Genomic DNA, 27,079 nt, shown 5'->3' on the forward strand with positions numbered 1-27,079 from the left:
AGCCTGGCAGAGACACAACCAAAAAACAGAATTTTAGACCAATATCCCTGATAAACATTGATGCAAAAATCCTCAATAAAATACTGGAAAACCGAATCCAGCAGCACATCAAAAAGCTTACTCACCATGATGAAGTGGGCTTCATCCCTGGGATGCAAGGCTGGTTCAACATTCGTAAATCACTAAATGTAATCCAGCATATAAACGGAACCAAAGACAAAAACCACATGATTATCTCAATAGATGCAGAAAAGGCCTTTGACAAAATTCAACAACCCTTCATGCTAAAAACTCTCAATAAATGAGGTATTGATGGGACATATCTCAAAATAATAAGAGCTATCTATGACAAACCCACAGCCAATATCATTACTGAATGGGAAAAAACTGGAAGCATTGAAAACTGGCACAAGACAGGGATGCCCTCTCTCACCACTCCTATTCAACACAGTGTTGGAAGTTCTGGCCAGGGCAATCAGGCAGGGGAAGGAAATAAAGGGTATTCAATTAGGAAAAGAGGAACTCAAATTGTCCCTGTTTGCAGATGACATGATTGTATATCTAGAAAACCCCATTGTCTCAGCCCAAAATCTCCTTAAGCTGATAAGCAACTTCAGCAAAGTCACAGGATACAAAATCAGTGTAGAAAAATCACAAGCATTCCTATACACCAATAGCAGACAAACCGAGAGCCAAATCATGAGTGAACTCCCATTCACAATTGCTTCAAAGAGAATAAAATACCTAGGAATCCAACTTACAAGGGATGTGAAGGACCTCTTCAAGGAGAACTACAAACCACTACTCAATGAAATAAAAGAGGATACAAACAAATGGAAGAACATTCCATGCTCATGGGTAGGAAGAATCAATATTGTGAAAATGGCCATACTGCCCAAGGTAATTTATAGATTCAGTGCCATCCCCATCAAGCTACCAATGACTTTCTTCACAGAATTGGAAAAAACGACTTTTAAAGTTCATATGGAACAAAAAAAGAGCCTGCATCGCCACGTCAATCCTAAGACAAAAGGACAAAGCTGGAGGCATGACGCTACCTGACTTCAAACTATACTACAAGGCTACAGTAACCAAAACAGCATGGTACTGGTACCAAAACAGAGATATAGACCAACGGAACAGAACAGAGCCCTCAGAAATAATGCCGCATATCTACAGCTATCTGATCTTTGACAAACCTGAGAAAAACAAGCAATGGGGAAAGGATTCCCTATTTAATAAATGGTGCTGGGAAAGCTGCCTAGCCATATGTAGAAAGCTGAAAGTGGATCCCTTCCTTATACCTTATACAAAAATTAATTCAAGATGGATTAAAGACTTACATGTTAGACCTAAAACCATAAAAACCCTAGAAGAAAACCTAGGCAATACCATTCAGGACACAGGCATGGTCAAGGACTTCATGTCTAAAACACCAAAAGCAATGGCAACAAAAGCCAAAATTGACAAATGGGATCTAATTAAACTAAAGAGCTTCTGCACAGTAAAAGAAACTACCATCAGAATGAACAGGCAACCTACAGAATGGGAGAAAAATTTTGCTATCTACCCATCTGATAAAGGGCTAATATCCAGAATCTACAATGAACTCCAACAAATATACAAGAAAGAAACAAACAACCCCATCAACAAGTGGGCGAAGGATATGAACAGACACTTCTCAAAAGAAGACATTTATGCAGCCAACAGACATGAAAAAATGCTCATCATCACTGGCCGTCAGAGAAATGCAAATCAAAACCACAATGAGATACCATCTTACACCAGTTAGAATGGCGATCATTAAAAAGTCAGGAAACAATAGGTGCTGGAGAGGAGGTGGAGAAATAAGAACACTTTTACACTGTTGGTGGGACTGTAAACTAGTTCAACCATTGTTGAAGTCAGTGTGGCGATTCCTCAGGGATCTAGAACTAGAAATACCATTTGACCCAGCCATTCCATTAACTGGGTATATACCCAAAGGATTATAAATCATGCTGCTATAAAGACACATGCACAGGTATGTTTATTGCGGCACTATTCACAATAACAAAGATTTGGAACCAACCCAAATGTCCAAGAATGATAGACTGGATTAATTAAATGTGGCACATATACACCATGGAATACTATGCAGCCATAAAAAATGATGAGTTCATGTCCTTTGTAGGGACATGGATGAAGCTGGAAACCATCATTCTCAGCAAACTATTGCAAAGACAAAAAACCAAACACTGCATGTTGTCACTCATAGGTGGGAATTGAACAATGAGAACACATGGACACAGGAAGGGAACATCACACACTGGGGCCTGTTGTGGGGTGGGGGAAGCGGGGAGGGATAGCATTAGGAGATATACCTAATGTTAAATGACGAGTTAATGGGTGCAGCACACCAACATGGCACATGTATACATATGTAACAAACCTGCACGTTGTCACATGTACCCTAAAACTTAAAGTATAGTAAAAAAATAAATAAATAAAAAAGCAAAGAATGGAAAATTATCAGTGTTGTCAGGGACATGGAGAAATTGGAACCATTGCTTATTGCTGGTGGGAATGTAAAATGGTATAGCCATTACGGAAAACATTGTGGCTATTCCTCAAAAAATTAAACATAGAATTATAGTATGATCCAGTAATTCCACTTTTAAATATATACCCCAACAAAGTGAAAGTAGGATCTTCAAGAGCTATTTGTACACCCATGTTCATAACAGCATTATTCACAGTGGCCAAGAGGTGGAAACAACCCAATGTCTATTGATCTATGAATGGATAACAAAATGTGACATATATGTGTAATGGAGTATTATTCAGCCTTAAAGAGGAATGAAATTCTGGTACATGCTACAACATGGATGAACTCTGAAGACATTAGGCCAACTGAAATAAGCCAGTCTGCTTATATGAGGTACCTAGAAAAGTCAGATTCATGGAGACACAAAGTAGAATTGTGTTTACTAGGGGCTGGGGCTAGGGGGAGTGGGAAGTTACTATTTAATGGGTACAGAGTTTAAGTCTGGGAAGATGAGTAGGTTCTGGAGATAGATGGTAGTGATGGTTACATAACAGTGTGAATATACTTAATGCCACTGAAGTGTACACTTAAAAATGATTAATTTTTTGTGGTTTTTTTTTTTTTTTTTGAAACAGAGTCTTGCTTTGTTACCCAGGCTGGAGTACAGTGGCACAATCTCAGCTCACTGCAGCCTCCGCCTCCCAGATTCAAGCAGTTCTCCTGCCTTAGCCTCCTGAGTAGCTGGGATTATAGGCACCCACCACCACGCCCAGCTAATTTTTGTATTTTTAGCAGAGATGGGGTTTCACCATGTTGGCCAGGCTGGTCTCAAACTCCTGACCTCAAGTGATCTTCCTGCCTCAGCCTCCCAAAGTGCTGGGACTATAGGCGTGAGCCACCGCACGTGGTCATGGTTACATTTTATGTATATTTTACCACAGTTAAAAAAACTTAAGAAGTTACCAAAAATCTTAATTGAATTTTAAAAGTAGATGTCTATGTTCCAAATCAGGGTTGAGTATACGAAATTAGCAAAGTAACAGAACGAGAAATACAGGAAACTTTAAGATAGCATAAACAGTTAAATCAGATGAGTGGAATTCGGTGAGATGTCTTTAGCTGTGATAAATAATTTTAGCATATGTTGATATTGTCTCATGCATGTATTTAACTTAAGCAAGTTCAAATAAATATACTTAACAAAAGAGGAGAGAAAGAATTTTAAAAGTGCAGGTGTTTTGTGCATGCACTCTACCCTTTATGAACATATGACTACGGAAGAATATGTAATGAAAGATGGGAAACTTCATTCTCAAAATTAATTGTAGTCCTCGTTTGCCTTTTGTAGTGTAGGCATCTTATCTTGCTTATTTGGGTATGATTCTAGAGTTTGAAGAAATGTCTTTTTGGTACAATATCAGATACTTCATCAGGTGCTCAGATTCAGGTGCAGTGCTATGTTACAAGCTTGGAGGAAAAAGTGGACCCTCATGGGTTTCTTGAGCAGACACGATGTCAATTTCAACATATGCCTTCCTAAGGTACCTTCAAGGGTGATTTTGACCCTCTATAGCAAGGTTTTCACCTCACATGCTGACTTTAAACCCTGAATTCCATTTAAAATGTATCTCTACTTTAGTGAAAAAATAGTAATGAGACTGTATATGGTATGATCCCTGTAAATGTTCACTTAGTAGGATATATAACCAAGGTTTAGTTGGGTTTTCTTTTATTGTTTCCTTCATACTTTCCTGAATTTTCTACAATGATCAGGTTGTTTTGTTTGTTTGTTTGTTTTTAATGATGGGAAGCTGTCAGCTCACGTTCATTTGTTTATTCAAACAATAGGTATTAAAGATGTTACTGTGTTCCACGCAGATACACTGTGGTAGGTGTTACAATTTCAGTATTGCTCAAAATAAACTATAATGGAGTTTATGTTCACGTTGGTTGACAGATATTAAACAAATAAACCATAAATAAGTACGTAATTACAAGTGATAAATGCTAAGAAAATAAGAAGAGTTCCAAGATAAACAAGTAGACCCAGTTTTGTTTTACGAACTTATGAAGATCTTTTCCAGGAAGAAACTTTTGAGCTGAACTCTAGAGGATGGGAATGAATTAGGTAGGCAGAGAGTGGAGTGTGAGAATGTTCCGGCGAGAGGGAAGAAGATGGGGAAAGCCCCTGAAGCAGAAAAGAGCTTGATGCATTTGACAAATGGAAAGAAGGCAGCGTGGGTTGAAATTCCAACAAATTTAAAGATCTGATTGGTTTTTGTAGTGATTCATGAATCAGGCAACATCCCATTCTATAATATGGAAAGGGTGCACTGGGCATGGGAGAGAGTTGGTTCTGGTAAGGTAGCCAGACCAGGAACAAGGAAACACAATACAGACAGTCCCCAATTTACAGTGGTTCCGTTGAACTATTTTTTGACTTTATGATGGTATGGAAATGATACACATTTAGTAGAAACCGTACTTCAGTACAGTATTTAATAAACTATATGAACTATTTGATACTGTATTATAAAATAGACTTCATGTTAGATGATTCTGCCCACCTGTAGGCTATTGTAAATGTTCTGATTATGTTTAAAGTAGGCTGGGCTAGGTTATGATGCTTGGTAGGTTAGGGGCATTAAATACATTTTTGACTAACAGTATTTTCAACCTATGATGGACTTACCAGGACATAACTACATTGTAAGTGGTGGATCATCTGTAATACCAAAAAAAGCATATTGATTAACATCAGGTTACTTACCTGGTAAAGATTAAAGCAGAGATAAGTTCCTTTTTACGCCAGCTCAGGGTGACTGGCCCCTTTTTCAGTTAGTTGCTGTGAATCTCTTGTTTTTAGAAAAAACTGGTCCATTTTGGAACTTTCCTTCTTTCTTAAAGTTTCAGTTGGATTGTATGGCATTTAGTACAAGTGACTACATTTTGGTTTGGTCTCTTGGGGCTTAGTGCAGGAGCTCAGTCTAAAACAATGGACTCCCATAAATTTTATTTAACAGGGTAGAGCATAGTGATGGGTAGATATGGTTAAAGATAGGTGGGTTCAAGATCATGCAGGATCTTATCAACTGTATTAAAGTGTTCGGATTTTATTCTAGTACTACTGCAATTATGGTTTGATTTATACTTGTAAAGTTTATTCTTGCCACTATATGGAGAAATGGTTTATAGATGGGAAGGCGGAGAGCCATGGCGGGGCGGGTTAGAGTGCAAGTAGAGACACCAGTTAGTTAGAAGGCTGTTGCTTTAGACAGTACCAGAGATGGTAGCATGAGTATCACAGTGTTATCTATAGAGATAGGGAGAAATGGACAGTCAGCATCCTTTTAGAAATAGTTTCTCCTAGATTTGGTGATAGGAGTATGGAGAGTGAGGGAGAAGAGCGTGAAAAAAATGTCTGGCGTGAGCAACTAGGTGAATAGAGGTGCCATTTACTGAGGTGGAGATTGAGGAAAAAGCAGATTTGGGGAAGATGATCAAAATGTCTGCTTTGGACATGTTAAAAATGAGATTCCTATTATACATCCACATAGAGATGTTGGGTCTACAATTGAATGTAGGCAGAGTTAATTTACACATGTTAAGGTAATAGTGCCACATATAAGGTGGCATTATTCACATTATAAATATATACTTTTATGAAAACATACAGATGGGCATGAATATTCCAGATCTTTAGTTAGAGTTCTGGAGCAATAATGTTAACTCTTGTGCTGCCCCAAACATAAATCTATACTCGCACATACTATAGCTATGCACAGGTACAGGAAAATAAGTATATGTACATTCACTGACACGCACACATGTGTGGCTGCACTCTCTCAGCTGCCTCTCACCTCCTCTGAGGTTGATTCTCTTGCTTATTCACCCACTGCTCTCAGGGATGTAATTGTTCCTCACCTGACTCTGAACTTGAAAGGGTCATCTCTCTTGGAGAACGAGGGGTGGTGGTGCAGACTGTGCGTGCACATGCTGCTGCTGGTGTGTACTCCCTGGGAGAATTTGTGAAAAGAATGACCACCATTTACAGTTGTTTGTGTTGTACTACAATATATAGTAACTTAAACATTTTGATTTGAAGAAGACACATCTTTTCTAATTTCCATAAAAGTGCTGTAAGAGCTAGCCGTGTCCCTGAATGCTGGAGTCGGATGCTCAGAAGAAAGGTACTCTTGGGCAATGGTACATTATTTGTTGGTCATCAGCATATACCTTGGTGGTCGATAAGTTTACCTAGGAAGAGAAGAGAGGCCAGTTCCGACTCCTTAAGGAACTCCACCATTGAGAGATTTGGTAGAAGAAAATATAAAAAATAAGTTTCCGGAGAGGTAAGAGGCAAATAAGAGAAAGTGATGTTACAGAAGTTGAGAAGAACCCAATATAATCTATTTGGCCCAGAAGGCTTGGTGTTTTCCTTGCAGTCTGTCCTGCAAAACTCTTCAGGGCTTACTGTGCACTGTACTAATGATACAGGTACTTACCCAGCTCTTATTGCCATATACATACTAGGAGCTCAGGAAATAGAGGATCTTAGAAAAATCATCTCATAGGAGATTAGTATAAGCCTTTATATGTCCAGAAATGTTCTTTTGCCTGTTAGATGTGGCATGGATTATAGATTAATTTATTTTATCAAGGAATGTGGGAATATTGAAATATATTTTAAAAGAAAATTAAATACTTTCAAATCTTTTACTTATCATCTGTCATTTTCCATTCAGTGTTTTGTCTTTTGTATTGTCAGATTAATCTTCTGGAAACATAGCTAAATATATTATTATTTTGTTGAAAAATCTTCCGTTATGTTGCATTTTATATACAATAAAGTTTATACTCTTCAGCTTGGGATCCCATGCACTGGTGAATTTTGTCCCAAACAACTATTTTTTAATATCTTCTACCACTGTCCTTAATGTATTCTGCAATCCAACCTGACCATAAAGTGTCCACTATTTTTAAATACTTCTTTTCTTTGCTTATGCTATAACTTCTGCCTAAAATGCCTTTCTTCCTTCCTCTCTATATCAAAAAACTACTTTTTTTCCAAGATACAATCCATTTTCTCCTTCCTCCAAAACCATCATGAGCTGGAAATATTCTCTCTCCTGAACTGATTCTCCATTTTACATCTTCTTTTATATCATTTGCATCTCTGCCTTGTATTATTAGAATTTATTTTACATGGCTTACAACTTCAGTTTGACTGACGTTTCCTTCTGATTATCCTACCCATTGTAGTGTAGTGTTTTTTTGTTTGTTCGTTTGTTTGTTTGTTTGTTTTTTAAGACCAAGTCTCACTCTGCCACTCAAGCTGCAGTGCGGTGGCAACATCTCTGCTCACTGCAACCTCTGCCTCCCAGGTTCAAGCGATTCTCCTGCCTCAGCCTCCCAAGTAGCTGGGATTACACGCACCTGCCACCACGCCTGGCTAATTTTTGTATTTTTAGTAGAAATGGGGTTTCACCATCTTGGCCAGGCTGGTCTTGAACTCCTGACCTCAGGCAATCCGCCTGCCTCCACCTTCCAAAGTGCTGGGATTACAGGCATGAGCCATCGTGCCTGGCCTGTAGTGCTTTTTTCATAGAATTGGTCTAAGAGGCAAATTTTTAAAAAGTCTTTCTCAATCTCATGTCGCTATTTGTGTTTTGTATTACTTCCCCGTTTTTCTGTAGGATCCAATGATGCCATTGCTCCAGACTTCCCAGCTCAGGTGCTAGGCACAAGAGATGATGACCTCTCAGCCACTGTTAACATTAAACATAAAGAAGGAATCTACAGTAAGAGGGTAGTGACTAAGGCATCCTTGCCAGTGGGAGAAAAACCCTTGCAGAATGAAAATGCAGGTAACTGGATTGGCTTTGTATACTTTGTAGCTTTTTCTCCCCTTTTCATCCTAAATGAGATTACTATCCAATCTTTATCCTTTTTTTCTGTTTTGTTATACAAGCTTTTCTCCTTGCTGTTATATTGAGCATATACAAGAAGGCAAAATTTCATAAAATCCTTTAATAATAAAGGAAGCATAAGCTTCAGAGATTTTTGAAAATTATAAACTTCATTTTCACAACGGATAATAAAATATGATACAACTTTTGAAATGAAATAATACCCAATCAAGTATGTTTTAGATACTAAGATCCACAGAAAATCTTGATTAAATGCCACATTAGTTTATCTCTGTCAGATATTACAAAGTAATGTCTTATAGGCTGGATTCTGTAGGGAGATATGTAGCTGACATGATTTTTTTTTTTTAATTTTTTTAAAGACAGGGTCTCACTCTGTCACCCAGGCTGGAGTGCAGTGATGCAATTATAGCTCACTGCAGTGTTGAACTCCTGGACTCCAGTGATCCTCCCACCTCAGCCTTCTGACTAGCTGGGGCCAGAGGCACACACCACTATGCCTGGCTAATAATTTTTTTATAGTGATGGGGGGTTTTTTGTAGTGATGGGGGTCTCGCTATGTTGCCTGGGCTGGTCTTGAATTCCTGGCCTCAAGCTGTCTACCAGCCTCAGACTCTCAAAGTGCTGAGATTACAGGCATGAACCACCGCATCCAGCCCCCATGTTGTTTTAAAATTTTTAAAATTTTCCACCAACATTCAAAACTAAGATTTTTGATTTTCCTTGAAAAATCAGAAAATCTGACTGCCCTTTGGCTCGCATTCATTCATGGTGGTAATCAGCTGCAGCTGAGCCATGGCTGTCCCCCTGCAGGCAGGACATCCATTCTCTTGTTTGCTTCCATCTCCACAGCTCTGAGACCCAGTCTGCTTCATTCATCCACCTTATCTGTCTGCTGATCACTGTGGGTATTTGAGTTTCAATCTTTTTTTTTTTTTTTTTTTTTTTTTTTTGAGTTGGAGTTGCGATCTTGTTGCCCAGGGTGGAGTGCGATGGCGCGATCTTGGCACACTGCAACCTTCACCTCCCGGGTTCAAGCGATTCTCCTGCCTCAGCCTCGAGTAGCTGGGTTTACAGGCACCCGCCTCCACACCCAGCTAATTTTTTGTATTTTTAGTAGAGGTGGGGTTTCACCATGTTGGCCAGGCTGGTCTTGAACTCCAGACCTCAGATGATCTGCCTGCCTCGGCCTCCCAAAGTGCTGGGATTACAGGCATGAGCCACCGTGTCTGGCCCCCACTGTTTTATAAAAGCTTTTTTTCTTCTGCACCCCTGCCATTATACTTTTGTAGCTGATAGATGATAATATTTATTAAATGAAAACTCCAGTAGCCACTGAAAATTCTGTGTGTATAATTGCCTGTGTTTGTTACATTTATACTTTTTTATTCCTGTGTATAACTATTAGCTAAATAGGTGCTACTGATCCCAGGGCAGTTTTTAAATGTAGGGTGGCTCTATGTTCTAGTTTTGGCATAGTGTTAATGACTTTGTGTGATAGCATCAGTGCCTTTGTGAGAAAAATAAATGAGATCTGCATGGTTTTTTTTATTTTATTTTATTATTGTTATACTTTAAGTTTTAGGGTACATGTGCACAATGTGCAGGTTAGTTACATATGTATACATGTGCCATGCTGGTGTGCTGCACCCATTAACTCGTCATTTAGCATTAGGTATATCTCCTAAAGCTATCCCTCCATTTTTTTAGATAATTTCGTTCTACTTCAAAACACAGTGAAGTCTTTTTATAAATCCCTTTTGAAATAAGAGAAGCATATCTACCAGCTAACATTGAGACTGCCAAGTAAATAAAAAGAAATAATTTTACAAAATATAGTTCATAAATGAAAACTCTTCTGCACCAGGGAATCCGTTACGTGTTTTCCACTATCCATATGCTAGTGGCAGTTTGGTTGAAACAGATAAGCCTAAGATCCCAGTGTCAGATACTTCAGGTGAGTGTAGATGTGGAAAAATTGGCAGGAAAGAAGTGAACTCTGTCAGAAGTCTGCACAAAGAACTCACCAGCTTTACCTCACTCCCAGGCTTCATTTGGTAAGGATGATACATTTGAAATAAAGTCAGGCTCAGTTATCTGAGGACCTCTACAATCTCCCATCTGTTGGTCTACTTACAGACTTTGCATCCTAAGGAAAAGCCCTCCTCCTGGCTTAGTCCTTAGTAGCCATTTCACCTTGAGAGAAGCCTAGCCTCAGAACCTCTTGCCTTAGAGAATTAAAGAAGAATAGAGGAGAGAATGCCTGCCTGGGAAACTGAACAATGACCTATGTAATAGCTAAATGAGCTCATAAAATATCATATCATAAGTAAAATTCTCAGTGGAAGGGGTGGAATATAAAAGTGAGAAAATCTCTTCAAAAATAGAACATAAAGAGAAGGGAAAAGATTTTTTAAAATTCAAGATTGTCCCCAAAGTTTCAACATTCAAAGCAGGTATTCTGTAAAGACAATAGAGAAGGCAAAAAAGAAAGAACCAAAGGACTAGTATAGGAATAAATTTCAGAACTGAAAGATGTGAGTTTTCATACTAAAAGGGACTACCATGTACATAAAAATACACACCGAGGCACATGACCTTGACATTTTAAAACTGATTTGAAAAGAGATTCTAACAGCTTCCAAAAAGAAAACATACATTCCATATAAAGAAATGGAAATGAGACTGGCATCAGACTTCTCAAAAGTGATAAACAGAGTTAGAAACCAAAGGAGTAATACCTTAGAATTCTGAGAGAAAATTATTTCACTAAAACAAGGGAGTTTATTTAAGTTACAAAAGAAGGAAAGAAAGAAAACATGGTGGGATTGAGGAAATGGAGGGGGCCAACACAGGAAATGGGAAACGAATTCTCACTGTGGCGGTGGTACACAAGGCCTAGAACCCATTCAGTTTGAAGCCTGCAAGGAAAAAGTCGAATTTGTAGGATACCTTATGTGATTGACTATACTTAGAGGAGGTTTTCAGTTCTATTTGCAGCTATGAGGATGAAGTAGGGATTGGCACATAGAAACTCAGAAAATGCAAAAACAAAGCGGTTATTAACTCTTCAGGAAAGCAGAAGTTTGTAATAGAAAATAAATGTAATTACAGTATACTAGCTGGCTTAGCTGTGAATAATAATTATATAAACAATCATATGTAAATACTAAATATAAACTTAATTGAATATTGATTTAATCACTCAGACCATTATTTATGTGACATATAAACACTGAATGTTAATATAGGGCTAAAACTTTTCAGAAGATAGGATGAAAGGATATATATGGGTAGGAGGGTTTTATAATGAGATAAATCCATAGATCTTAGTATATAGTATAAGAATAAATCCCAGAACTGAAAGATGTGAGATTGTAATTGATCTTAGAAGGAAATCAATAGATAATTTCTGGAACATAAAATGATATGGTAGTATAAAGCATGTTATTAGGAAATAAGGATATTGATCCTAGAATAAATGGCTAAAGAAGTTGAAAATGGTAGCCTTTAGAAATTGGGGATCTGTAGTGGATAGGAGAGGGAACTGCTGACTTTTCTTGTAAGCCTCGTGAAACTATTTGACTTTTAAAACATATACATTGTTATTTTTATTAAATCAGAATTTATATTGTCCTTCACCTCAAAAAAGTAAGAAGAAAAAAATACATTTGGCAAATACTGACTAAAGAAAAGCTAGTGTTGATATGGACAAAATATAATTCCAGGACAAAAAAAAAAAAATTAAAGGTAGATACAAGAGTTTATCTCATAGTAATAAAAGGGTCAAATATACCAGGAAAGATAAAATTGTGAGCTTATATGTATATTCTCAAATATATTCAGGAAAAATTACAGGAATGTGTAGGTAAATTCAACAGTACATTTCAGAAATGTGAAAGACCAGGAAATAGAGAAAGTAGGGCTGAGCGTGGTGGCTCATACCTGAAATCCCAGCAGTTTGGGGGGCCAAGGCGGGTGGATCACGAGGTCAGGAGATCGAGACCATCCTGGCTAACACGGTGAAACCCCGTCTCTACTAAAAATACAAAAAAAAAAAAAATTAGCCGGGCGTGGTGGCGGGCGCCTGTAGTCCCAGCTACTCAGGAGGCTGATGTAGGAGAATGGCATGAACCTGGGAGGCGGAGCTTGCAGTGAGCCAAGATCACGCCACTGCACTCCAGCCTGTCGTATTTAAAATCAGGTGTTACCCTCAGCATGGGGGAGATGGAAGGAAGAATGAGGGGAGCGTGTAAGTTTCTAGCCAGATTTTATTTCCTAACCTGGGTAAGGTTATATACACTTGCTTTTTGTAATTCACTGAACTCTTTATGTGCACGTTTTCCCCCATATTTTCCACTGTACAATTAAAAAGATATTTTAAAAAGCAATATGGTACTTAGAAATGAATCTAAAAGGGTCTGTAAGATAAACAATACGGTACTTAGGAATGAATCTTAAAGGGCATGTAAAACTATTTTAAGAGAAAATTATAAAACTACATTGAAATATATTAAGACCTAAATAGTTGGAAAATTACACAATTGTAATAATAAAGATGTCACTAAATTAATTTCTAAATTAAATGCATTGCTACTCAGAATTCCAGTAGGATTTTTCGTGGAACTTGACAGGCTGATTCTAAAATATTTATGGAAAATCAAAAAACGTATATTTAAAGAATAAGATAAGGGATCTTGCCATACCAGACATCAAGACTTATTACATGTGTAGCTTATTTAAGACATCATTTACAAAGGAATAAACAGAAAGAAAAATGAAACAGAATGGTGACCCAGAAACATATCCATGAATGTGGAAACCTAACATACACAGAGATGGCATAACAATCTGTGGAGAAAGGATGAAGAGGAACTATTCAATAGAGTTTGAACCAATGAATATATATCTGGAAAAAATAAAATCAGATAAATCACTGCCACACACTAAACAGAAATGTATAGTATACCAGGCATATTAAAAGTAAATGGGATAACTAAGTTTTTAGAATTTAGATGGTCTGTCCTTATGACCATGTGATAATAAAAGATTTCTTAATCAGGACACGCAAAGCACCTACCCTAAAGGGAAAATATAATAAATATGCCATTATTAAACTGAAAAACTTTTTGCCTAAACGATATCAAACAATTAAAAGACATGAAACAGCCTGGGAGAAGATATTTATAATGCACACCACCTGCAAAGACATTTCACAGGAATGTTCATTGCAGTGCTTTTCAAAATAGGAAATAGCCTTAAGTTGATCAACAGAGGTGTATTCGTATATATTAATACAGTAGAATAATACATAACGTTCAGAATCAAAGACATATATTAATTGACTAACTCTCAAAATCATAATATTGAGTGAAAAAGTCATGGTGCGTAAAGGTACAGACAGTATTGTACCCTTCGTATAAGGTTTAAAGAAACTTGCAAAACAATGCTGTACACTGTTGGTTAATATATGCAATGTGGTAAAGAATTACAAAACATCCTTGATATTGATAAACTGTAAATTTGGTGTAAAGGCTGCTACTGAGAAGTGAGAATGGCATCATTGGGAACACTTTACACAAGAAACATTATATTTGTAATATTTTATTTCTTAAGCTCTATGGTAAATACTTGGGTGTTCATTTTGTTGCCTATATTTTTGGTATGCCTGAAATATTTTATTAACATTAAAACATTTTTTAATGATCTAAAAATTTCAGAAGACATTTAGAGAAAAGAGATTAGGAGGATTGAAGTAATAAGAAGTAAGAAAAATGTGTGAATTTAAAAGAGGTAGCAAGAGTTAACTGGTTCTTTGCATTTTTAGCAATCTCTATTGCCTTTCTGATTTCTTTGTTGAAAAATATACTTACAGATAAAAAAATCAAAAATGATCAAAAAAGTAGAAAAGAGAAATAGTATTAGACAAGTTTAAAAGGCTATAACTGCATGAAATTTTTAAAAAATTGTATGAGAATGCTGTATTTAAAATCTAGATGATAAAAGTGCTTTTCTTGGATTATATGAAATATAAAAATTGACTCCATAAGTGGTAAAAACTTTGAATAGGCCAAAGAACTTGAAAGCATTGTTCACATCTTTTTTCCTTTGAAAAAACATACCTGATCTTTCCTTTTTTTTTTTGTTTTTTTTTTTACTGTTGCATCAAACCATCAAGGAACAGATTTTTTTTAGAATGTTTTTATTTTATTTTATTTTTTTGAGACAGAGTCTCACTGTCGCCCCGGCTGGAGTGCAGTGGCACAGTCTCAGCTCACTGCAGCCTCCACCTCCTGGGTTCAAGTGATTCTCCTGCATCAGCCTCCTGAGTAGCTGGGACTACAGGCGTGCACCACGACGCCTGCTAGTTTTTGTATTTATAGTAGAGTTGGGGTTTCACCGTGTTGGCCAGGCTGGTCTCGAACTCCTGACCCCAAGTGATCCACCCGCCTCAGCCTCCCAAAGTGCTGGGATTACAGGTGTGAGCCACCCCGCCCGGCTTTAGAATGTTATTTTATTTAAACTGTTGTTGTACACAGTAAAGTATGAAAAATTTTTCAATTCATGTCACAGTTTTTACACAGGTGGAGCCTAAGAGGTACTTTTTTCCTAATATGTAAATGGGTTTGGGGTTTTGTTTGTAATTGTGGGGGAGGATTACTTGTCTGTTGTGTTTATTATCTTTCCTTTTCTGAAATCAAATGATGTCGTTATTCCAGATGCCTCAGTTCAAGTGCTAATCACTGGGGATGAGAACCTCTCAGACAAAAAACAGCAAGAGATTCACAGTACAAGGGCAGTGACTGAGGCTGCCCAGGCTAAAGAAAAAGAATCTTTGCAGAAAGATACTGCAGGTAGCTAAACTGGATTGTCTGCGTATTATTTTCTTCTGGTCTTCTAAAATGAGACTATTCCCTTAAGAACAGAAACAGAAATATATTCTCTATTTTCTTCTTGCTGTCTTCAGCTCTCTTCTATCTCATGTATATATGAAATAGTTAAGGTATGTTTAGCTATATTTTTTATATACTTTGGCAGGTAAAATTAACATATTTAAAGTTCTTTGTGATATTTCTGGAGGGTTTTGAATATAGTAAACAAATTAATCTAATTTCCAGAAATTCATTTAATGGACTTTTTACCTCCGCTGATAAAATCTCTCAATTCTGTGAGACACGGACCCTCTAATACCATTTTTGTACATAATCCTTTATTTAGGAATTCAGCTTGTTTACTTCCTACCTATCAGTTACTTTACTTCAAAGGGATTATGCTGATTTAAATAACCCTAATAGTGTATTTACGTTAGGATTAGTTTTGACTCAGAGAGGAAAACAAAAGCAAAATAACATAGGCTTGAAGAAGACAGAAAACTCTTTCTCTTTTTTGTAAAACTCCAGAGGTAAGCATCCAGAGTTGACCTGGTACTCCAGAGTATCGGAACAAAGCTGTTGCTCTCTTGTTACTCTAACATTTTTGGCCTTCATTCTTAAGCTGTAGCCATCAGCCCATATTGCAACCAGCAGGAAGAAAGGAAAGGAAAAAGCACATTCCTTCCTTTAAGGATACTTCTGAGAAGCTATATATACCATTCCTTTTGCATTCTATTGGCCAGACTTAGACACATGGTCACATGTACCAGGGAAGCTGGGAAATTGAGTTGTTATTCTAATAACAATGTGCCCAGCTAAAGTTAGGGTTCTGTTTAGAGGAAAAGGAAAGTGGATATTAGAGGACAGATAGTATTGATAGTTTCTGCCACAATTGTAAACTAAAACATTTTAGAACATGATTAGCTGCTTCTCTTCTTTAGGTATTGCTTGTTTAAAAAGGTTAGATTGTATTCTGGGCAACACTTCTGAATTTTACCCCATTTTACTATTACTAAATGAATGTTCCAAAAACAGTTTTGATCATGTTAATCTCCTAATCAAAAACTTTAGTGTTTCATTGCCTGTAAGGATAAAATCTAAACTCTTTTAGCACTGTCTTCTAGAACTGTAGAGTCCACTCTCAAACAACTTTCTAACACTAGTTCTCACCTCTTTTCCTTATAAATTCTATAATCAAATGCTATATACTTGCTCTGTTTCTTAGATGCTAAGTTACTTTCCTGACACCATTCTTGTGTTATGTAGTCACCTTTTTTTTCCATCTTAATGTGTATCCCATCTTAGCTCTCTTCTAATGCCAAAATCAGTTGTCTAGAGTTCTATGGTACTCCCACCTGCAATTAGTTTTTCTTTCTTTGAATACCGCTACCTCTTTTTCTGACTGTTTCTTACAGTATATCTGTTTACGTATGTGATTTTTTGCCCCAATTTTCAATTATTTTCTAAACGCATTTCTGAGTCATCTTTTTTCTTCAATATCAGTAACAAAGCCTTTCACATAATACGTACTTGAGAGACATTTAAAAATCTTTTATGTCAAGTTCCTGTCTGTATAGTGTGTTAATTTCCCTTTCGTAGATTCCAGTGCTGCTGCTGCTGCAGAGCACTCAGCTCAAGTAGGAGACCCAGAAATGAAGAACTTGCCAGACACTAAAGCCATTACACAGAAAGAGGAGATCCATAGGAAGAAGACAGTTCCCGAGGAAGCCTGGCCAAACAATAAAGAATCCCTACAGATCAATATTGAAGGTAATGGGATTGGGTTGTGTATGAGTGTGTGTGTCTTTGTGTGTATGTGAGGGTCAGTGTTAGTGTTTCCATTTCATTCTGATGAGAATATAGCCTCATGATTAAACAAAAATTCCTTTTCTTTTTTTAAAACTTTCTTGTGTAAAGTACTTTGATGCTACTATTAGGTTACTATATATATATATAGATTTCCAAAAAGTAATTGTTACTTTTTGGAAAAGATATTAGCAACTTAGAAACAGGATTATAAATAAATACCTAAGGCTGATAGTTTTAGAAGTGAAGTATCTTGTCTCAGTCCCCAGAGACAACCTTAAAGGCCTTCCAGAAGACTATAGCAAAGATAGTGAGACCATCAATACAAACTTTTAAAAAATTACAATAAAATCACATTTATTTTTGTTTGTCCATGGGTCTCTTTTTCTGACATAAAAGCGTATAGAACACAAGACATTACTACCTAGCCATCAAGCTTTACCTCTTAGAGGAAGATGGAACAGCCTACATAAGGAGAGAAAAGAGTCAAGGAGCTAAACTACCCATACTGGATTTTGGAAATAGTCTGGGTTCAACTGCTTACATCAAGAATATACAAAATAAATGATTTTTTGACAATAGCCAAGACTACACAATGGGGAAAGGATAGTCTCTTCAACAAATGGTGTTGGGAAAACTAGATATCCACATTTAAAAGAATAAAGGTGGACCTTTTCTTTACACCACATACAAAAGTTAACTCAAAAAGGGTTAGTGACATACATGTAAGACCTTAAAACCATAAAACTCCCAGAAGAAAACATAAGGGGAACACTTCAGGACATTGAACTTGGCAGTGATTTCTCAGATGTGACACCAAAAACACAGACAACAAAAGCAAAAATAGACCAATGAAACTACATCAAACTTGAAAACTTCTGCATGACAAAGTAGACAAGAGTGTGAATAGGCATTCTACAGAATGAGAGAAGATATTTGCAAATCATGGATCTGATAAGGGATTAGTATTCAGAATATATAAAGAACTTATGCAACTCAATAGCAAGAAAAACCCAAACAACTTATTTTTAAAAACACGTAACTTATTTTAAAATGAGCAAAGGACTTGAATAGACAATAGAAGATATACAAATGCCATATCAAGCATATAAAAAGATGCCCAATCTCTCTAATCATAAGAGAGATGCAAATCAAAACCACAATGAGATATCACTCACACCTGTTAGGATGACCACTATCAAAAGAAAAAATAGCAAATGTTCGTGAGGATGCAAGGAAATTGAAACCCTTGTTCACCATTGGTGGGAATGTAAAATGATGTAGCTATTATGGAAAATATTATGGAGGTTCCTCAGAATAATAAAAAAGAATTAGTATATGATCCCGCAATCCCACTGCCACTGCTGGGCATATAACCTAAAGAATTCAAAACAGGACTTCAAAAAGCTACCTGTATACTCATGTTTATTGCAGCGTTATTTATAATCAAGAGGTGGAAGCAACCCACATGTCCATCAACAGATGAATGTATTAAGAAAATGGGAATTATTTGTCAATAAAGAAAGCATGTTACATACATATTTGTATTGTGCAGCCTTAAGAAAGAAGGAAATCCTATCACATACTACAAGGTAGGTGAACCTCAAGAACATTATACTAAGTAAAATAAATCAGTCACAAAAAGATAAATACCATATGGTTTCTCGCAAATGTTGAGGGATTTAGGAGGATGAGAGAGACCTTGGGTTTAAACAGGAGAGTCTTTTATTGAGTGCACTCAGGCCCAGCAGACTCACGTCCAAAGGCTGGGCCCAGAACAAAGACAGCACTTGACTTTTATACACACTTCACAAAAGGGGATGGGCTAGCTTGAAGCAAGCTTACAGTGGCGTGAAAGCGGGAATACAGAAGCAGGACAAAGACAGTTAATCAAATTGTAACAGGTTCATAACTCAGGATTGCACATAACCGTTGCTATGCAACCCAGATGTCCATTATCTAGGTTTGTCTAGGCACGGGCTTATCCCATAACCTTCACTATGGTGCCCAGGCAGCTGTAGTTCAGGCCTACTCAGGCTTCTCATGACCTTCATTGTACTTCTTAGATAAAACAGAATACTTGAAGTCACTAGTTACAGAGAACAGGAATCTATAAACTCATTCCATAAAACAAAGGAAAATTTGTTTTTTCTTCTCCCTGTGTTGAAGGAGTGCTGGGAGAGTCTCCAGAGCACATTACATAATATTATCAAGACTTTTCCTGGGTCTGGGCTGTGCCTGTTGCTGCCTCTGGGACAAGTCAGCCTAATGCAGGAAAACTTATTTCTCTTTCTTTTTAATTTTATTTTTCTTTAATTTCCCACCTCAGTATGAAATATCTAAAGTAGCTGAAATCATAGAAACAGAAAGTAGAATAGTGATTGCCCAGGCTTGTGAGAGGGTGGACAGAGAATTAGTGTTTAGTAGGTGTAGGGTTTCAGTGTTACAAGATGAAAGAGTTAGAGATTGTTGCACAACAATGTGAATATACTTAACACTACTGAACTGTACACTTAAAAATGGCTAAGGTGGTTAATTTAATGTCATACTATTTGTCACACACAAAAATAATACATAAGATGAAGAAATATAACATTGCAACTTTGCAGGGGTTAGTGTGGGAGACATAGCTTGCAAAAGAAAGATGGAAATATAATCTGTAAAAGCATACTCTAGAAGATAAGAAAAATTTTTCTAAATGTTTTACACTCTGAATAATTTTAGAAGACATGAAGTATATGAAATAAAAATTGATAGAATAATGAAATGAAAAGGGAGATTTAGGGGATAGAACAAAATGAAATGAAAAAAAAGTACCAATTAGAAGAAAGAGATGAAAGCAATTAAAAAAAAATGATGGAATTTGAAGGCTGACAGTGAAAATCCAACACAATGATATCTGTTGTTGCCTCTAAAGAAGATAATAGAAAAATAAAGATATAAGGAAGAATGGAACTTACAATTGTATGTATGTATGTATGTATGTATGTATGTATGTATTTTTAGACATGGAGTCTCATTCTGTTGCCCAGGCTGGAGTGCAGTGGTGTGATCATAGCTAACTGTAGCCTCAAACTCCTGGGCTCAAGTGATCTTCCCACCTCAGCCTGTAGAGTAGCTGGGACTGTAGGCACATGCTACCACACCTGGCTTGAACCTGTAATTTAAAAGGACGTACCAAGTCCTAGGAAAATTTTGTATATAGTGTTCAATACTGAGATGTATGTTTGCGATAGTACTGAACTTTAAAGAAAAAGAATGAATCATGCAGGCCTCCATACAGAAAAAAACAAGTAGAAAATGCTAAAAGACAGGGGGACAGGCAGAGGACAGGGAGGTTAAAGGAGGTATAAATGAGCAAACTTCACCTTTAAAGTTGTAAAATCAAAAAATACATGTGTAAGTAATTATAGGGTTGAAAATTATAGGCCAGACGCGGTGGCTCATGCCTGTAATTCCAGCACTTTGGGAGGCTGAGGTGGGTGGATCACCTGAGGTCAGGAGTTTGAGACCAGCCTGACCAACATGGAGGATCCCCATATCTATTAAAAATACAAAATTAGCCGGGCATGGTGGTGCATGCCTGTAATCCCAGCTACTCAGAAGGCTGAGGCAGGAGAAGCGCTTGATTCCGGGAGACAGAGGTTGCAGTGAGCTGAGATCATGCCATTGCACTCCAACCTGGGCAACAAGAGTGAAACTCCATCTCAAAAAAAAAGAAAATTATAAAATTTACCCCTAAAAGAGTTAAAATTAAACTATAAAACATCCAAAATATTTAGAAAAACAGGTTAGCTTGGAGGTAAAGGGAGGGAAAAAGAAAACAGTAAATTTGTAACAAAAACAAAAAATTGCCATAAAATGAAAGACAGCAAAGCATGCAAGTCTATATATAAGTAAACTAAATTCACCTATATTAAAAAAAAAAAAACTTCTTGGATTATATTAAAAAACAAACCCAGTTCCATGCTATATAACAAACATATCAAAAGTAAAATTACTGAGAAAGGTGGAAAGCAAAAAGAAAACTTAGAGATGTATCAAAAAGAAATTTGGGGACATTAATATAGATGAGGTTAAATTCACCAAAAGTTTTGCAGGAATTGAAGAGGTATATTTTTATACTGATTTGCAATCCACAATGAGGATATTTTGCATAAATCTTTAAACATCAAATAACTTAGCATAAAAAATTCATAAAACGAAAACCAGGAGCTCAATCAATAAGGAAATTTATGTTGCCTTAAAAAAGAATGAAGGAGGGCAGGGTGCGGTGGCTCACGCCTGTAATTCCAACACTTTGGGAGGCTGAGGCGGGCGGATTAAGAGGTCAGGAGATCAAGACCATTCTGGCTAACATGGTGGAACCCCGTCTCTACTAAAAATACAAAAAAATTAGCCGGGCGTGGTGGCAGGCGCCTGTAGTCCCAGCTACTCAGGAGGCTGAGGCAGGAGAATGGCATGAACCTGGGCGGCAGAGCTTGCAGTGAGCCGAGATCACGCCACTGCACTCCAGCCTGGGTGACAGAGCGAGACTCCATCTCAAAAAAAAAAAAAAAAAATAAAAATAAAAAATGAAGGTATGGAATTATATGAAAACAACTCTTAGGATGGATTGTGAGGCAAAAGGTGCTTAACAGGGGGATTGGACGGTGGAATTTGCTTGTAGGGAGAAAAAAAATAAAACAGACAACCCTAGGAAATCTTCAAAGAGAAATGGACAAATACAAAATAATACTGGGGAGCTTGAACACACATAATTAGCTTATGACAGATCGTGGAGATGAAAATTTTTTTTGTAAGTGAAGTTTAAAAACACCTGGGAATAATACAAGTAATGAGGTTGATGTGGGGTGTGTGTGGCTGTGTGTGTGTGTCTGTGTGTGTGCATGCATGCATAAGCCTATATGGGTTAAACTTAAAAAAAAAACCCTTTCCAAAAGACCATAGAAAATTTTTTCATACAGCTTTATTCAGATATAATTTACCCATTTAAAATATGTAAGGCTGGGCACAGTGGCTCATGTCTATAATCCCAGCACTTTGGGAAGCTAGGGTGGGTGGATCACTTGAGATCAGGAGTTCAAGACCAGCATGGTCAACATGGCGAAACCCCGTCTCTACTGAAAATACAAAATATAGCCGGGCATGGCGGTGCATGCCGATAATCCCAGCTATTCAGGAGGCTGAGGCAGGAGAATCACTTGAACCTGGGAGGCAGAGGCGACAGTGAGCCAAGATCGCGCCACTGCACTTCAGTCCAAACGACAGAGCAAGACTCCGTCTCAAAAAAAAAAAAAAAAAAAAAATCAAACATGTAATTCAATGATTTTTACTGTATTCACAGATAAGTGCAATCAACCATCACCATAATCAATTTTAGAATATTTTCTTCACTTCAAAAAAGAAACCCTGAGACTTAAGCAAATACTGATCCACTTTTTGTCTCAGTAGATTTCCCTATTCTGGACTTTCATACAAATGGGACCATTAAGTTGGGGACATAACATGAAACTTAGGGCCCGCCCATAATGAAAAATGTTAAAGGAAATTCCCATGTAAAGTAGGCCTCCAGTGGGCTACACTCTTACTATAAGAATAAAAGATAAACACGTCCATGTAGAAGGGGACAGTAAGAAAACTGCCTGTTTTAACCTTGATAATGAGTTTGGGGAAAGAAGACAAAATTTATCCTCAGAATTTATAACCACAAACTAGTGTTCACACAGATTTACAGTCATTAATTTTGTACTGGTATAATTTATTAGTGCAGTAAACTACAGGTGTGTTCTGAAAAATCTCAAGCCGAGAATTTAACAATGGCAGTAGGTTGGTATTGCAGACTCACATGCCTTTCGGATGCAAATGCACATCTCTCTGAAGAAACTTCAACCCAGACCTAAAATACCCTAAATTCCCTAAAATACCAAGCTCATAGTCAAGGCACTATTAGTAGAAACAGTATCAACAACAAGAAACAGAAATGAGACCCACAATTACAAATGTCCAGGATTCCTTGGCAAAATGCCTGATTCTCAGACTGGGACAGGAGATATATTAGATGAGCCTGAACCCTTTTGTGGTGCCAGAAAGTAAAGAAAAAAAAATGCACAGGGATGGGGAATATGTCAATGGAACACAGGGACCAAGTAAAAAACTTCCCAGTGGCTAAAGCTGGGACAGTTTCTGTAGTATAGCAATAGTATTAGATCATAACCAAAGTATAAAATAAATACCTATGAGTCTGTACTGATAAAAGTAAATGATTTAATAAATAAATGGGGGGAAATGACAAATCTGTGCAGAATTCTAAATAATGTATGTAGATATTCCACCATCAGGGAGGTGGAACATAACTCCCACTCTTAACTAATGGGTTGCACATAGTAACTTAACTTCCTTCCAAAGAGTGTATTTTTATAGGAAGGGGGAAAAAGAATAACTATATAGTGAAGAATTCTGGCAAACACTGGCTCAGCCGGGTCATCAAGATCATCATCAATAGTGGTAAGTCATGTTGATAGTATGTACCCTTAATATGTAATGAGAAATATATTTTAACTTTGAAATCTTCTTCCCAAAAACCCATAACCCCAGTCTAATGAGAAAAACATGAGACAAACTCAAATGAAGGACATTTATACTTGACCAGTACTTCTCAAAACTGTCAGAGTCATGAAAAACAAGGGATGCCTAAGAAATTCTCACAGACCTAAGAGAAGCCTAAGGAGACATGATAATTAAATGTAATGTGGTGTCTTGGATAGAATCCTGGAACAGAAAAAGAACAGTATGTACAAAACAAGGCAACACAAAGTATGGCCTTTGGTTAATAATAATGTAACTTTATTGATTGATTCATGGTAATATATTGTATTAATGTAAGGTGTTAATAGGGGAAACTGGGTATGGGGTATAGGTAATCATCTGTACTGTTGTCACCGTTTTTCTGTAAATCCAAATTATTCTAAAATTAAAAGTTTATTTTAAAAAATTAATGCATTCTGACATTAAAACAGGTGGATAGATAAATGATAAATAAGAAATTTCATCTTCTTAAAGAAAACACTTTACAGCTTCTCTTTGGCATAACCAATTTGCTGGCGTTACTGCTCTTGCACTTTGGGGCCATTACTAACTACAGTTAGGGTTACTTGAACACAGGCACTGCAGTATCATGACAGTCACCCTGATAACCCAGACAGCTATGAAGTGCCTAAGGGGCAGGTAGTGTAAATGTACGGACATGCTGGATAAAGGGAGGATTCACATCCTAGGGTGGGATGGAGCAGGATGACAAGAGATTTCATCATACTACTCACAACGACGTGCAATTTAAAAATCATGAATTGTTTCTGGAATTTTCCATTAAATATTTTTGGACCATGGTTGACTATGGGTAAATGAAACCTTAGAAAGCAAAACCACAGATAAGGGGGACTACTGTATTCACACCTAATGTGTGGGGTTTCCCCTCACGTTAAGCAGTTCTGACACTGACAACCTGTACTTAGCACAGTCCCCACAGGTTATGGGTTCAGTCCCACAAGACTGCCCACCACTTCAGATACCAATTGCATGGCTTGGCCTCCTATACTTCTGACCAACTAGCTCCAAATTGGGGTGGTGGGGAGAATCCCATGACCCCCTCCTCAGGTTTGGTAATTTGCTCGAATGGCTCAGAAAACTTAGGGAACATTTTCTTACATTTCCTGATTTTTTATGAAGGATATTTCAAAGGATACGCACGAACAACCAAATGAAGAGATACATGGGCAAGGTATAGGGAAGGTGCACAGAGCTTCCATGTCCTCTCTGGGCCTGCCATCCTCCCAGCTTCTCCTGTGTTCACCAGATGTGAAGCTCTTCAAACTCTGTCTGTTAGGGTTTTTATGGAGGTGCCATTACATAGGCAATATTGATTAAATCATTGGCCATTGGTGATTGGCTCAACCTGCAGTCCCTGTCCCCTCCCCAGAGATCAGGGGTTGGGGCTGGAAGTTCCAGCCCTCTAAACATATGGTTGTTCCCTTGGTAAACAGGCCCCCCATCCTAAGGGGCTTTCCAAAATTCACCTCATTAATGTAAACTCAAGTGCAATCAGAAGTGACTTGTTTTGAATAACAGACCCTCCTTGAACCTTTATCACTCGCTCTTGAACTGTTTCAAGAACCAAGTACAAAAACCAAATGTCATAATAAAAGATGCCCCTATTGCTGTTATCCCGTTTTCCTAAATGGAAATTACAAGAGTTTTAGTAGTTCTGGCCAGGAGCTAGGGTTAAGGCAAAATATGTATTTATTATATCACAGTATTACAATTTACAGGGTATTTAAATGAATTATACAGTGATAATAGTAAAAGGATGCTACTGGGACAAGAGACTGATACATCAGTGAAAATACTTAAATACAGTGGGCACTTACTCTATGATAAAGGTGCCATTTCAGATCCATTTGTAAAAAGATGGATTACTCAACAAATAATGCCAAGATGCTTTGCTAGCCATTTAGAGTATCGTGAGAATTTTAAGTTGTAGCCCTACTTTACTCCTGTCACCAAAATGCAAGTATAAAAGATCCAAGTATAAAAAAGAGATCATAAAAGTTCTGGTTTTCTGACTTTTCTAATAAATTTGAGCAGAAGAAGGCTTTCAAGGTCTGACAAAATCTTGGAGTCATAAAGCCAAAGATTTGATAAATGTATATATTAAAATTAAAGTGTCTTCATGGTAGAAAATATCATAATGCAAAATCAATTTATAAATGAATAATGGGAAAACAATTTTAAAAAATTGAGAAACTGAGAAAAGGGGCTAATTTTCTTACTATGCAAAGAGCTTTTTACAAATCAATGACAGCCTAAAAGGAAAACAAAGGACCTGAACAAAAAGCTTATAGTAAAAGAAATGCAAATGGCCATTAAAGATATGAAGAAATACTTAACTGTCTTAATAAAGAATGTACTAAGCCACAAATTTTGTTTTACCTGTCACAATAGCACAGATGAAAAGATTTGATTATCCTTAGTATTGTTGAGTACATGGGGAAACATTCATGTACTCTTATAAGACTATTATTAGAAGTGCAAATTTGTTGCAACATTTTTGAAAGTGTGGAACAATTGGATGATATCTAACTAATGTTGAAATAAATATTCCCTTTTCACCCAGACTTCCATTTAAGGGAATAACAGATACACAGATAAAGTTGTACCTAGAAAAATAAAATGAAGCTACACATAAACGCACAAACAAATGTTCACTGCAGCATGCTTTGGAAGAATAAACTATTGGAAACAACCTAAATATTTAGTTAAATTTTGGTAAAGTAAATCAGTTTAATATAAAATGTTTGTAGATGCACAAAATCTTGCTTTGAACAAGTAGTTTTACTCTACTTGGCAGGAATTTTTCTATAAGAAAACTTGTTTAATATTGGTTATCACCAGAAAGTGGAACTAGGAGGTTCAGAGATAACCGGGAGAACTTTACTGTTCATATTAAATTTGTCTGCATTATTTGAATATTTTGCATGTTTAATTTTTAAAAGTCTGCAGTTCTAGGTATGAAAGAAATATTTAAAAATAAATGAAAAGCAGTAAATGATATTTTCATGTACTTTTATATATTCGGGGAGAATTTTGCAAATGTTATGAGTAAAATTAATTCCATTATCAGAAGTAAATAACTACTTCAACTTATTTGACCTTTACTCTTAACAAAGTGCCATGAGATGATGGTGATTATCAAATCCTGTTGTTTTATAAAGCCCTTTATACTTAAGGAATTCAGCTTGCTTGCTGCTGCTTCTGCTTCTTTTTTTTTTTTTTTTTTTTTTTTTTTTTTTTTTTTTGAGATGAAGTCTCGCTCTGTCGCCCAGGCTGGAGTGCAGTGGCACGGTCTTGACTCACTGCAACCTCCACCTTTTGGATTTAAGCAGTTC

At 36.9% G+C, this 27,079-nt stretch overlaps 1 protein-coding gene across 2 annotated transcripts in view; it reads left to right on the forward strand.

The window, feature by feature from the left end:
- ALMS1 (ALMS1 centrosome and basal body associated protein) overlaps window positions 1–27,079 on the forward strand; it is a 224,162-nt gene that overhangs the window by 156,286 nt on the left and 40,797 nt on the right. For both annotated transcript variants that reach the window (NM_015120.4, NM_001378454.1), the window contains 3 exon segments: window positions 8,224–8,394; window positions 15,177–15,311; window positions 16,929–17,099. In NM_015120.4, the coding sequence (NP_055935.4) occupies window positions 8,224–8,394; window positions 15,177–15,311; window positions 16,929–17,099 (477 nt within the window).

The sequence above is a fragment of the Homo sapiens genome, chromosome 2 (genome assembly GCF_000001405.40).
Source record: "Homo sapiens chromosome 2, GRCh38.p14 Primary Assembly".
NCBI classification, from domain to species: domain Eukaryota; kingdom Metazoa; phylum Chordata; class Mammalia; order Primates; family Hominidae; genus Homo; species Homo sapiens.